The 12,803-nt window shown below is 53.1% G+C and overlaps 1 protein-coding gene and 1 long non-coding RNA gene across 33 annotated transcripts in view, besides 5 other annotated features; one reads left to right on the top strand and one right to left on the bottom strand.

The window, feature by feature from the left end:
* Positions 1–436, bottom strand: part of KLC1 (kinesin light chain 1) — a 72,334-nt gene extending 71,898 nt beyond the window's left edge. For all 32 annotated transcript variants that reach the window (NM_001394832.1, NM_001394836.1, NM_001394846.1 and 29 more), the window contains exon 1: positions 153–436. The gene's annotated coding sequence lies outside the window, so the exon portion shown is untranslated. The remainder of the gene's footprint in view (positions 1–152) is intronic.
* Positions 49–168: a silencer, noted in NCBI's record as "silent region_6165". NCBI's record gives its function as "represses an Ori minimal core promoter by ATAC-STARR-seq in GM12878 lymphoblastoid cells {active_cell/tissue: GM12878}" and the evidence as "EXISTENCE:reporter gene assay evidence [ECO:0000049][PMID:35858748]".
* Positions 219–578: a silencer, noted in NCBI's record as "silent region_6164". NCBI's record gives its function as "represses an Ori minimal core promoter by ATAC-STARR-seq in GM12878 lymphoblastoid cells {active_cell/tissue: GM12878}" and the evidence as "EXISTENCE:reporter gene assay evidence [ECO:0000049][PMID:35858748]".
* LOC105370688 (uncharacterized) lies at positions 504–2,145 on the top strand. Its single transcript, XR_944248.2, has 3 exons — positions 504–615; positions 1,722–1,908; positions 2,107–2,145. It is a non-coding gene; the product is annotated as an uncharacterized LOC105370688 (long non-coding RNA).
* Positions 669–868: a silencer, noted in NCBI's record as "silent region_6163". NCBI's record gives its function as "represses an Ori minimal core promoter by ATAC-STARR-seq in GM12878 lymphoblastoid cells {active_cell/tissue: GM12878}" and the evidence as "EXISTENCE:reporter gene assay evidence [ECO:0000049][PMID:35858748]".
* Positions 1,309–1,398: an enhancer, noted in NCBI's record as "active region_9109". NCBI's record gives its function as "activates an Ori minimal core promoter by ATAC-STARR-seq in GM12878 lymphoblastoid cells {active_cell/tissue: GM12878}" and the evidence as "EXISTENCE:reporter gene assay evidence [ECO:0000049][PMID:35858748]".
* Positions 3,432–3,481: a silencer, noted in NCBI's record as "silent region_6162". NCBI's record gives its function as "represses an Ori minimal core promoter by ATAC-STARR-seq in GM12878 lymphoblastoid cells {active_cell/tissue: GM12878}" and the evidence as "EXISTENCE:reporter gene assay evidence [ECO:0000049][PMID:35858748]".

The raw sequence follows: 12,803 nt of genomic DNA, 5'->3' as shown, positions 1-12,803 counted from the left end.
GGTGGGAACGGAGAGGGGCCGGGACCCAAACCGGGAAGGAGGCCTGGATGGGGACAGAGTTACGGCCGGGGCGGGTCCGAAGAGGAGCGGGACAGGGACGGGGCGGAGGATGAGGAGGGGGCCGCGGTCCGGGGCGCACGCCGGGGACTCACCGCCTTGCTCCTGAGGGCCGCGCTCTCTCGCGCTGTCAGCACCTGGAGCGCCGCCGGGCGCGCGCGCGGAGCAGCGACTGTGCGCCGAGCCCGCCTCGGCTGTGTGAGGCACGGCGCAGCAGTCACCAGCTAGGGGCGCCGGAGCTACCGCCCCGCAGCATCCTCGGCCACCCACGCGCTGTCCCCTTGGCCGCCGAGCACAGCCCCGCGGCTCCTCGCACCAGCAGCCCAGCCGACCCAGCCAGTCCCGCTCGGCCGCCTGCGCCGCTCCCGCCGCCGAAAATGGCGTCTCAGTGTTGCTCCCCCCGGCGCCCCGCCTCGCCCCGCCCCACAATGCCGCGCGCCGGCATGACGTCATCGCCCCTCGCCCCGCCCGGGGCTGGGGAAACTGAGGCTGGGTGGCTCCCCGCAAGCGCTCGGCGAGCTGGGGACTGGAGGGGCGAGAAAGTTGTTTGGGTATCAGGTGGGCGGTCACAGGGAGGAGGGTGACGGTGCAGGACCCAGCGGGCCTCCCGGTTGTAACGCGGACGGGGGTGGGGCGCTCGGGGCAGGGCGCGGCTCGCGGGGTGGGCGGCCAGGCCCTGGCCTCTCCGACTCCGCAGCCGCGATGACCGAGCGCTTCGGCAGCTTCCCTTCCAGCCGGACTGTGGGCCCTACCAGAATGCGGCCGGGGACGGTGCAGGCCCGGCCGCAGCCGCCACCACTGGGCTCCCGCCCCACCCCACTCCCAGGCCCGCGAGCTTCATGCGCTCGTTTCGGTCCCCCCAAAACCCAGCTAGGAGGCCTTCGGGAGGCCCCGGAATCAGATGATCCCGGCCAGGCCTTTCTCCCTCCTCCAGGAAAACCGACAGCCTTTGGTCGAGACCCTGACCTCTAACCCTGCGCCCTCCCCTTCTCATTATTCCCTCTCCTCGGGGCTTTTGGACCCTCGTATCTGTACGAGGAAACTTTCCAGGCGCTCCCCCTCGACACAAACTGCGCCTCAGACGGGCAAAGGGGAAGGGCCGGGGTGTAGACTGTGAGGGTGGGAGACAACCCCCCTCTGTCCCCACGCAGCCACCGGCGCATCTCCCTGGCTGCAGGGCCTCGACCTCCAGCCCGGCCTGAAGGGCAGCGGAGCGCGCCTGGGTCAAGTCCTGCGGCTTCGCCGGCTCCGCAGGCCTGACTCAGCAGCCAGCCGGGAGGGCATGCTGATTCAATGGGCGAGGCTCCGCTCGCTGCTGCCAGCGGCTTGGGAAAAACCCTCCCAGTGCCTGCAGACGTCCCAAGTGCGGGGCCCGGAGGCATCATTTAACCTGGAGGGGTTCCTGGGCCAGTCCCCCAGCCCCATCTTGTGAACTGCTGTTCCTTTCCGATGTTATCACCCAGCACCAGCAGCCCTTTGTGAACCCTGCAGTTAGGCCCCGCAGTCACCAGAGAAGCAAGTGCTCCTCGGTTTTTCCAGGGAGGTCTGGTTACTTTTATCTCATTTATAAAGACAAAGGGGGAGCTCCTAGGTAACACGGTAGGGTTGGCCCGGGGAGAGGCACTGAGTCAGGGTCAAACAAACTTTCTCCATACCACTTTCAGGTTAGTGATTTCAGCCAGACTGCAGCTTGGATGTCACTAAGTTCAGCCACTGGGCTGGGCACCGCCAAGCATCGACTGCTCATTCTTTCTGTGCCGCTGCGCCCAGTAACTGTCCCCTCTGCTCACCCACAACCCTAGCCAGAAACCTGGGATGCCTGCACCGCTCCCTTACGCCCTACTACAACAGGTGGAAAAGATTCTACTTCCTCAATATTTCTTTGAGTTAGGGTATCTTTGTCACCCTGACTGGAGGGCAGTGGCAATCAGCTCACCGTAACCTCGAACTCCTGGGCTCAAGAGATCCTCTTGCCTCAGCCTCCCAAGTAGCTAGGGACTACAGGTGTGCACCACCACTCCCAGCTAATGTTTTTTAAATTTTTTGCAGAGAGGAGATCTTGCTATGTTGCCCAGACTGATCTCGAACTCCTGGCCACAAGTGATCCTCCCAGCTGGCCTCCCAAAGTGCTGAGATTACAGGTGTGAGCCACCATGCCCGGCCTCTCAGTATTTCTTGAATCCATCTCCACTGCCACCACTTTGTTCTGGCTTTATTACCTTGTTCTTTTATTTCCTCAATAAATATTTGTTGCTCTCCCATGATCCTCATAACAGCCAAGGATGCATAGGTGAACAAGATAGATAAGATCTCTGCTTTCTAAGAGTTTACATTCCAGTGAGGAGAAGTAGGCCATAAACACATAAGGAAATACCGGATCTTGCCGAGATGATGGAACAGGCAGAGATGGAACAAAGATGATGGAACAGGCAGAGTCTAGGTGGTCAGGGGTGAACTCAGAGGCAGGCGGGTGACCTGAGACCCAAATGAGAGGAGGGAGGCAGGCGTTCAAAGCCCCAGGAGAGGCCGGCGAGGTGGCTCACGCCTGTAATCCCAACACTTCAGGAGGCCGAGGCAGGTGGATTGCCTTCAGGAGTTCAAGACCAACCTGGGCAACACAGTGAAACCACATCTCTGCTAAAATACAACAAATTAGCCAGGCGTGGTGGCGCACGTCTGTAGTCCCAGCTACTCGGGAGGCTGAGGCAGGAGAATCGCTTGAACCTGGGAGGCAGAGGTTGCAGTGAGCCAAGATCACACCACTGCACTCAAGCCTGGGCAACAGAGCCACATTCTGTCTCAAAACAAAATAAATAAAAGCCCCAGGAGAGCTCTGAGGGCAGGAGTCCTCAGGCAGGAATGACCCTGGAGTGTTGGGGGAAAGGAGAAAAGGCCAATTCATCCACCAGTGCTGCCACGCATCACTGTCTGCAGCAACTTCAAATTCCTTGGGTTGGTCAACAAGGCCCCCAGGGCCTGGTGCTGCCAACCTCCTGGTCTCCTGTGCTCTGAACACCCTTATCTGTTCCTGAGTTCACCCTGGTCTCTCACATAGCCATGCCCCTGTACATAGTATTCACTGTGCCTAGAATGTTCTCCCTCCCCCATTCCCCCCAGTGCTCCAGGATTCAAATGATCGTCACTTCCTGGGGGAAGCCGCTTCTGACAGCACCTGCCTGGGTCAAGGCCTCCTCTGACCACCCACCTGTCCCTTCCCCAATGTGTAGTATGTGGTCAGCTTACACAGCTGCCTTCTCCTCAGCCTGTAAGCAGAGAACAGGAGGGGCTGGTGTCCTCTTCCCCACAGCCTGCTCAGCACCTGACGCAGCTGCAAGGGCAACCCTCAAGCAAGCATGAGAGGAGGGCTGGGCTGCTGCTTCTCCAGGCTTCCTTTGCACAGAGATGCTGCTCTTGCTCCCTTTTCAAGGGGAGCAGACTCTTCGGGTCCCTTAAGTCCCTGACTTCTGCCATGATCCTCAGGAGATCCTGCAGTCCTTGGAGCCGTTAGCAGCTCCTAGGTTGGGCTCCTAAGGTACTGCCTGGGGTTAAAAGGCATGGACAACCTGGGCAACATAGTAAGACCCTGACTCTACAAAAAAAATTTTTTTTAATTATCCAGGCATGGTGATGCACCCTTATAGTCTCAGCTACTCAGAAGGCTGAACTGAGGTGGAAGGATCACTTGAGCCCAGGAGGTCAAGGCTGTAGTGAGCTATGACTGTGTCACTGCACTCCAGCCTGAGCAACAGAGTGAGACCCTGTCTCAAAAAAAAAAAAGGAGGGGGGGAACTACCCACCTTCTGCCATTTGCCAGGCCCCTGGGACATCGGAGGCAAGCATAGAGCCTACAATTTTTCATATTCACGTCATTCTCAGTATTCATTGAGAACTGCTAGTATCAGGTGCCAGGCTGGGCAACAGAACCGGGTGCCCTGGACAAGTGAGCTGACGGCCAGCAGGAACTAAGATGAGAGGCCTGAAGAAGTGCAGAGGGGAGCCCTGCGTCCCTCGGGGATCCAGGAGATGAGGGAGAGGGACACTCCCGTGGCAGGTGGGGGGACCACAGGAAGGAAGTGCAGTGCCCACATGCAACAAACCATGCAGTCCCGTTTGTCTCAAGTGGAGAATGGAACAGGAAGTTGTTATTTTTTACACTATTCATCTTTTTACTGTAGATGTTTGTAGATGTCTGTCTTTGCGAGCGGCTTTTTGGAAGAGACAAGCAGGCAGGAATTTCCCTTTGGTTCTTGAGGATCTGCAGCCTTGTGGGCAGCCCTGTCTGTGAATGCCTGAAGAAAGGAGGGAGGAAGAGGGTGGGGAGGAAAGAGGGAGAGAAGAAGAAGGGCAGGGTGGAGGCAGCCTGAAGCCTGTCCCTGGCTGGCAGCTGTACTCAGGTGCCCATCCTCTGGCTGGGAGGGGTGACCTGGCTGGAGGGGCTGGGGCGGGGGAAGCACAGGCCATGGGAAGAGCAGGCTGGTTGACTCCACACAGCTCTGACCCCTCCCCGCAGCCTGCTCACCCTCCTTGTCAGCACGAGGCTTAGGGACGAGTCACCGGACGGGCGTGCTGGTCCAGGGAGGGGCTGCCTGGCATCCGGACCTGGCTAATCTGGGATCTGGCCCGCGTTGCTCTCAGCCACAGGTCACACCCTCTCTGGTCTCAGGCTTCAATTCTAAAAATGCAATTCCTCTGATTTCCAGGGTGTTTTTTCCTTTCTTTCTTTTTTTTTTTTTTTTATTGAAACGGAGTCTCACTCTGTTGCCCAGGCTGGAGTGCAGTGGTGCAATCTCGGCTCACTGCAACCTCCGCCCTGCAGAGTTCAAGCAATTCTCCTGCCTCAGCCTCCCGAGTAGCTGGGATTACAGGTGCCTGCCACCATGCCTGGCTAATTTTTGTATTTTTAATAGAGACGAGGTTTCACCATCTTAGCCAGGCTGGTCTTGAACTCCTGACCTCGTGATCCACCCACCTCGGCCTCCCAAAGTGCTGGGATTACAGGCGTGAGCCACCACACCCGGCCAGGGTGTTTTTTCTTTAAAGAGCTGGGGCCGCTGAGCACAGAGCTCCAGGGACCACTTCCTTCAGAACTGCAGGGAAAGGCGCGCTCAAGATCGGAAGGAGGTGTGGTGGACACCCTGGCAGGAAGCCACCCCTCAGTCTGTCTTTCTGTCCTTCACACCCACTCCACTCCCGCAGGACAGCCCAGGGGCCCCTGAGAGAACAGAGCCCTGGGTTCTCCCAGGGCCAGCAGGCCACCGTGACGGCTCAGCAGCACTGTCCCCCACACCTGGGATCCTGTCTCAGCAAGCCCTGGTTGTGGTAGCTGGTTTCCTCACATGGCCTGGTGACCCAGACCCTCAGCATTTGTGTCCTGTTTCCTGGTACAGCTGGAGGGAGGCTGCGCCAGTGCCGGCCGAAGCTTTAAGACAGCTGGAGGCGCCAGGCAGCGAGGGAAGCCGTCTGGGCGGTCCCCTGGGACCAGAATTTCTGCAGATGAGGACTGAGGCTCAAATGGCAGCAGGGAGGAAGACATCACCGACCAAGCTCAGCCTGGCTGGGTACACTGAGTTCGTCCTATGCCGACTGAGCCCGACCTGTGTCTCTGGACTTGAGCCAGGTGCCAGGGCGACAGCACTCCAAGTGACCAGGATAATATTTACCCCACTTCACTTCCTCTCAAGGAATCATGAGATATCTTGAGGAAAGTGCTGGACTTCCCACAGTATGTGGCATGGAGACTGGACGTGTTTTATATAGTTATCCAAAAGGTTATGCCAGAAACTGGGAGAAGGGAAGACACCTATGTCCTCCAGATAATTTCAAAATGGTTTGAAGAACACTGATAGAGGGAAACAGTGGGGCTGTGGTACCTGCGATTAGGGATTTGCCATGGAAAACAGATTCCATATTGGAGATTTTCTCCCAACATTTTATTATGAAAATACATTTACAGAAGAGTTGAAAAACCTGTACAGTGAAGGCTGGGTGCATTGGCTTACACCTGTAATCCCAGTACTTTGGGAGGCCAAGGGAAGAGGATTGCTTGAGGCCAGGAGTTCAAGACCAACCTGGGCAACATAGTGAGACACCAACTGTACACAAAATTTAAAGAAAAAAATTAACCACGCCTGGTGGTGTACGCCTGTAGTCTCAGCTACTCTGGAAGCTGAGATGGGAGGCTCCCTTGAGCCCAGAAGTTCAAGGTTACAGTGAACTATGATCATGCCACTGCACTCTTGCCTGGACCACAGAGCACGACCGTGTGTCTCAAAAAAAAATAACAAACTGTCCAGTGAACGTTCACATACCCACCACCAGGATTCTACCATTAACATTTTGCCTGGGCTGGGCGCAGTGGCTTGTGCCTGTAATCCCAGCAGTTTGGGAGGCCGAGGCAGGTGGATCACTTGAGGCCAGGAGTTCAAGACCAGCCTGGCCAACATGGCGAAACCCCATCTCTACTAAAAGTACAAATAATTCGCTGGGTGTGATGGCGCACCTGTAGTCCCAGCTACTTGGGAGGCTGAGGCAGGAGAATTGCTTGAACCTGGGAGACAGAGGTTGCAGGGAGCCGAGATCACACCACTGCACTCCAGCCTGGGCAACAGAACAAGACCCCGTCTACAAAAAAAAAAAAAAAAAAAAAAAAAAAAAAAAAAATATATATATATATATATATATATATGGCCTTATTTCCTTTATCACATCTCTTCTCCCCATTCTTCTATCTATCAATACATTTTTAATGCATTTCAAAGTAAATTGCAAAGATCAGTACACACCACCTCTAGACGCTTCAGCATTCATAGCATTAATGGAATCCGATATTCTTTGCTTGTTTGTTTTAGGAAACATTTACACGTGGTAAAATGCATAAATCTTAAGGACAGCATTTGAAGAGTTTTGCTTTATATGATATTGACCTTTATTTCAGAGACTAAACAGTGGTTTTGTTTTGTTTTGTTTTGAGACAGGGTCTCACTCGGCTGCCCAGACTGGAGTGCAGTGGTGCAATCTCAGCTCACTGCAACCTCCACCTCCCAGGCTCAAGCAATTCTCATGTCTCAGCCTTCCAAGTAACTGGGATTACAGGCACACGCCACTACCGCCCAGCTAATTTTTGTATTTTTAGGGTTTCACCATGTTGGCCAGGCTGGTCTCAAACTTCTGTCCTCAAATGATCCACCTGCCTCGGCCTCCCAAAGTGCTGAGATTACAGGCATGAGCCACCGTGCCCGGCCGGTTTTGTTTCATTTTTAATTGTGTTTCGTTAAAGCAGTTTTAGGCTCACAGAAAATTTGAGCGAAAAGTACAAAGAACTGCCATGTATGTCCGGTACCCAGTTCCCCTACCACTAACATCCTGCACTAGTGTGGTACATTCGTTACAACCAATGGACCGATATTCATATATTAACTAAGTCTAGAGTTTACATAAGGGCTCACTGTCTGTATTGTACACAGTACTGGATATTCTATGGGTTTTGACACATGTAAGTATAATGATATGATGAGTTGTGAGAAACCTTTCACCTGTGTAACTGAAGTCCCTACCAGGAAATGGAACGTTTCCATCACATTGCAGGGTTGCCTCATGCCCCTTCCCATCTGACCCCAGGCAACCACTCTTGGGTTTGTTTGTTTGTTTGTTTGTTTGTTTTTGAGATAGACTCTCACTTTGTTGCCCAGGCTGGAGTGCAGTGGCACAATCTCGGCTCACTGCAACCTCCACCTCCCAGGTTCAAGCAATTCTCCTGCCTCAGCCTCCCAAGTAGCTGGGATTATAGGCGCCCACCACCACGCCTGACTTATTTTTTTGTATTTTTAGTAGAGATGAGGTTTCACCATGTTGGCCAGGCTGGTTTTGAACTCCTGACCTCAAGTGATCCGCCCACGTCAGCCTCCCAAAGTGCTAGGATTACAGGCATGAGCCACCACGCCCGGCAGTTTATTTATTTTTTATTTATTTTGTAGCGAGGAGGTCTCACTATGTTGCCCAGGCTGGTCTTGAACTCCTGGCCTCAAGCAATCCTCCTGCCTCAGCCTCCCAAAGTGCTGGGATTACAGGCGTGAGCTACCATGCCTGGGCTGTTTTTTCTTTTTTTTTTTGGTTTTTTGTTTTTTTAGATGGAGTCTCACTCTGTCACCCAGGCTAGAGTACGATGGCGCAATCTCAGTCCACTGCAACCTCCGCCTCCCGGGTTCAAGCAGTTCTCCTGCCTTAGCCTCCCAAGTAGCTGGGATTACAGGCACGCACTACCACGCCCTACTAATTTTAGTAGAGATGGGGTTTCACCATTTTGGCCAGGCTGATCTCGAACTCCTGATCTCAGGTGATCTGCTCACCTCCCAAAGTGCTGGGATTACAGGCATGAGCCATCGCGCCCCACCCCAGTTTTTATTTTTTAAATGTAGACCTATTTTGCCTGTTCTAGCATTTTACATGAAGTCACATAGCATCTACTTCTGTGTCTAGCGTCTTTCACTCACCTCCTGTTTTTGACATTCATCCACATTGTCCCACATTTGTTTGCCATTCTCCTGCTGATAGAAGCTGGGATGCTTCCATTTTGGTTGATACGAGTAAAGGTAATCTCAGCTTTCTTATACAAGCCTGTTGGTGAACATGTATTTTCATTTCTCTTAGGTAAATACCTAGGAAGGCCACGTACAGTGCCTCATGCCTGTAGTCCCAGCATTCTGGGAGGCCAAGGAGGGCAGATCATTTGAGACTAGCCTGGACAACATGTCAAAACCCTGTCCCTACTAAAACTACAAAAAAAATTAGCTGGACGTGGTGGCACATGCCTGTAACCCCAGCTACTCAAGGGGCTGAGGTATGAGAATCGTTTGAACCCAAAAGGTGGAGGTTGCAGTGAGCCGAGATGGCATTACTGCATTCCAGCCTGGGCAACAGAGCAAGACTGTATTTCAGATGATAAACAACAACAACAGCAACAAAACCTAGGAATGAAATTGCTGGGTCATCAGGTAGGCATATGTTTGTTTGCTTGTTTTTTTTTGTTTTTTTGTTTTTTGTTGTTTTTTTTTAAGACGGAGTCTCCCTCTGTTGCCCGGGGTGGAGTGCAGTGGTGTGATCTCAGCTCACTGCAACCTCCGCCTCCCAGGTTCAAGTGATTCTCCTGCCTCAGCCTCCTGAGTACTCCTGAGTAGCTGGGACTACAGGTGCGTGCAACCACGCACAGGTAATTTTTTGTATTTTTAGTAGAGACAGGGGTTTCACTGTGTTAGCCAGGACAGTCTCAATCTCCTGCCCTCGTGATCCACCCATCTCAGCCTCCCATAGTGCTGGGATTACAGGTGTGAGCCATCATGCCCGGCCAGGCATATGTTTAGTTCTATAAGAAACTTCTGGGCTGGACACGGTGGCTCACGCCTGTTAATCCCAGCACTTTACGGGGCTGAGGTGGGCAGATCACAAGATCAGGAGTTCAAGACCAGCCTTGCCAACATGGTGAAACCCTGTGTCTACTAAAAATACAAAAATTAGGCCAGGCACGGTGGTACACGCCTGTAATCCCAGCACTTTGGGAGGCCGAGGCAGGCAGATCATCTGAGGTCAGGAGTTAGAGACCAGCCCAATCAATATGGAGAAACCCCATCTCTACTAAAAATACAAAATTAGCTGGGCATGGTGGCACATACCGGTAATCCCAGTTACTCGGGAGGCTGAAGCAGGAGAATCACTTGAACCCAGGAGGTGGAGATGGCAGTGAGCCGAGATCGTGCCTTTGTACTCCAGCCAGGGCAACAAGAGCAAAACTCCGTCTCAAAAAAAAAAAAGGAAAAGAAAAAGAAAATTAGCCCAGCATGGTGGCACGTGCCTGTAATCCCAGCTACTCAGGAGGCTGAGGCAGAATTGCTTGAGCCTGGGAGGCAGAGGTTGCAGTGAACAGAGATCACGCCACTGCACTCCAGCTCTGGGCAACAGAGCAAGACTCCATCTCAGGAAAAAAAAAAAAAGAAACTTCTGGTTGGGCACAGTGGCTCACACCTGTAATCTCAGCATGTTGTGAGGCTGAGGCAGGAGGATTGCTTGAGCCCGGGAGTTCGAGGCCAGCCTGGGCAACATGGCAAATCCCCGTCTCTACTAAAAATATAACAGTGAGCTGAGTGTGATGGCATGCACCTGTAGTCTCAGCTACTCAGGAGGCTGAGGTGGGGGGATCGCTTGAGCCTGGGAGGCGGAGACTGCACTGAGCCAAGATCATGCCACCACACTCCAGCCTGGGCAACAGAGACTCTATTTTCAAAAAAAAGAAAGAAAGAAAGAAAGAAAGAAACTTCCAGGCCTTTCTCCTAGGTGACTGCCCATCTATCCCTCCCATCAGTGAGCTATGGGCATTCCAGTTGTTCCACGTCTTCCCCAGCGTCTGGTGGCATCAGTCTTTTGAATCTGAGTCATTCTGGTGAACGTGTAGTTCTCTCTGTGGGTGGTTTTTTTTTTTTCTTTTGAGACAGAGTCTCACTCTGTCACCCAGGCTGAAGTGCAGTGGCACTATCTTGGCTCATTGCAACCTCTGCCTCCTGGGTTCAAGCAATTCTTCCATCTCAGCCTCCTGAGTAGCTGGGATTACAGGTGCACACCACTAAGCCCGGCTAATTTTTTTTTTTTTTTGAGACTGAGTCTTGCTCTGTTGCCCAGGCTGGAGTGCAATGGCACGATCTCGACTCATTGTAACCTCCGCCTCCCAGGTTCAAGCGATTCTCCTGCCTCAGCCTCCCAAGTAGCTGGGATTAGAGGTACATGCCACCACGACCGGCTAATTTTTTTTTTTTTTTGAGATGGAGTTTCGCTCTTGTCCCCCAGGATGGAGTGCAATGGTGCGATCTCAGCTCACTGCAACCTTCACCTCCCAGGTTCAAGCGATTCTCCTGCTTCAGCCTCCTTAGGAGCTGGGATTACAGGGGCCTGCCACCACGTCTGGCTAATTTTTGTATTTTTAGTAGAGACGGGGTTTCTTTCACTATGTTGGCCAGGATGATCTCCAACTTTTGACCTCAAGTGATCCACCCACCTTGACCTCCCAAAGTGTTGGGATTACAGGTGTGAGCCACCGCGCCCGGCCCCTAATTTTTGTATTTTTAGTAGAGACGGGGATTCACCATGATAGTCAGGCTCATCTCGAACTCCTGGACTCAAGTGATCGTCCCGACTCGGCTTCCCAAAGTGCTGGGATTACAGGCTTGAGCCACCGTGCCTGGCCTCTTTGTGGTTTTATTTTTTTATTTTTTATTTTTATTTATTTATTTTTTTTGAGACGGAGTCTTGCTCTGTCGCCCAGGCTGGAGTGCAGTGGCTCAATCTGGGCTCACTGCAACTCCACCTTCCGGGTTCACGCCATTCTCCTGCCTCAGCCTCCCGAGTAGCTGGGACTACAGGCACCCGCCACCACACCCGGCTAATTTTTTTTTTTGTATTTTTTAGTAGAGACAGGGTTTCACCATGTTAGCCAGGATGGTCTTGATCTCCTGACCTCGTGATCCACCTGCCTTGGCCTCCCAAAGTGCTGGGATTACAGGCGTGAGCCACTGTGCCCGGCCTCTTTGTGGTTTTAATTTGCATTTGCCTCGTAAGATGCTGAACATCTTTTCATGTACTTATTGGCCATTTATATATCTATCTTTGTGAAATGTTTGTTCAACTCTTTTGCTTTTTTTTTTGAGACGGAGTCTTGCTCTGTCACCCAAGCTGGAGTGCAGTGGCATGATCTCAGCTCACTGTAACCTCCGCCTCCCGGGTTCAAGTGATTCTCCTGCCTCAGCCTCGGGGGCTGGAATTATAGGCAACCGCCACCATGCCTGGCTAATTTTTGTGTTTTTTAAAGTGGAGACAGGGCTTCACCATGTTGGCCAGGCTAGTCTCGAACTCCTGACCTCAGGTGATCTGCCCGCCTTGTCCTCCCAAAGTGCTGGGATTACAGGCGTGAGCCACCGAGCCCGGCCTGAAATTTCTGAGATTTTACCTTAGCTGCAAGCTAACAAGGTGGCCTGCCACTGGTTCACGGATGCTGACAAAGGACACCAACGCCTGGATATGAGACAGGACAGATTTTTACTCACAGGTCTACAGTGGCCTGAGTCTCAGCACTGTGGTGCTGGTTCCTGAGCTCGGTTCCCACAGTTCCCACAGGGCAATGTGAAGAGGGCTGGATGACACCTGCACACACACTCGTGTGCATTCCAGGAGAGGATCCCTGTGCCCAGGAGCTGGCTGGAAAGGCCGCCCGTATTCCACTCAGGAAGGCTACGTTATGTTTTGTTGAAGGTAATTTGCTACACCAACATGCTTGAGAGGATGGGCTGGAACAAAGGAGTCAGTGCCGCTGATCATACATGCAGGGAAACATGAGAGACTCACGTTTCCCTGCAGAACAGCCCCAGGGTCCCGGCAGGGAGGGGGCTTTGCTTGGATTCAGTGGCCAGGGGTCTGGGTGATTAGAGAGGGCCGGGAGGTATCCAGGCTCCTGCAGGGAAGAAAGGCTGGCTGCTCGGCCACAGCCCCGCCCACAAGGTGCAGAGTCCCTTCAGAAGCCACCCCGTAAACCAATGATTCTGCCACCAAAAAAGAATATTGGAATATGTGCCCAAAATGTGGAGGGACTGGAGATGGGGGTGGCAAGCAGGAAGGGTACAGCAGGTGTCGTGCAGCTGCCGTCTTGGGAGAAAATAATCAGCCGTCCTTCAGGCTGCCTCACCATCTCCCCTTACACAGTTCTTCTCACA

Source organism: Homo sapiens, chromosome 14, assembly GCF_000001405.40.
Source record: "Homo sapiens chromosome 14, GRCh38.p14 Primary Assembly".
In the NCBI taxonomy this organism is placed as follows: domain Eukaryota; kingdom Metazoa; phylum Chordata; class Mammalia; order Primates; family Hominidae; genus Homo; species Homo sapiens.
This window is presented reverse-complemented; position numbering and strand designations above follow the sequence as displayed.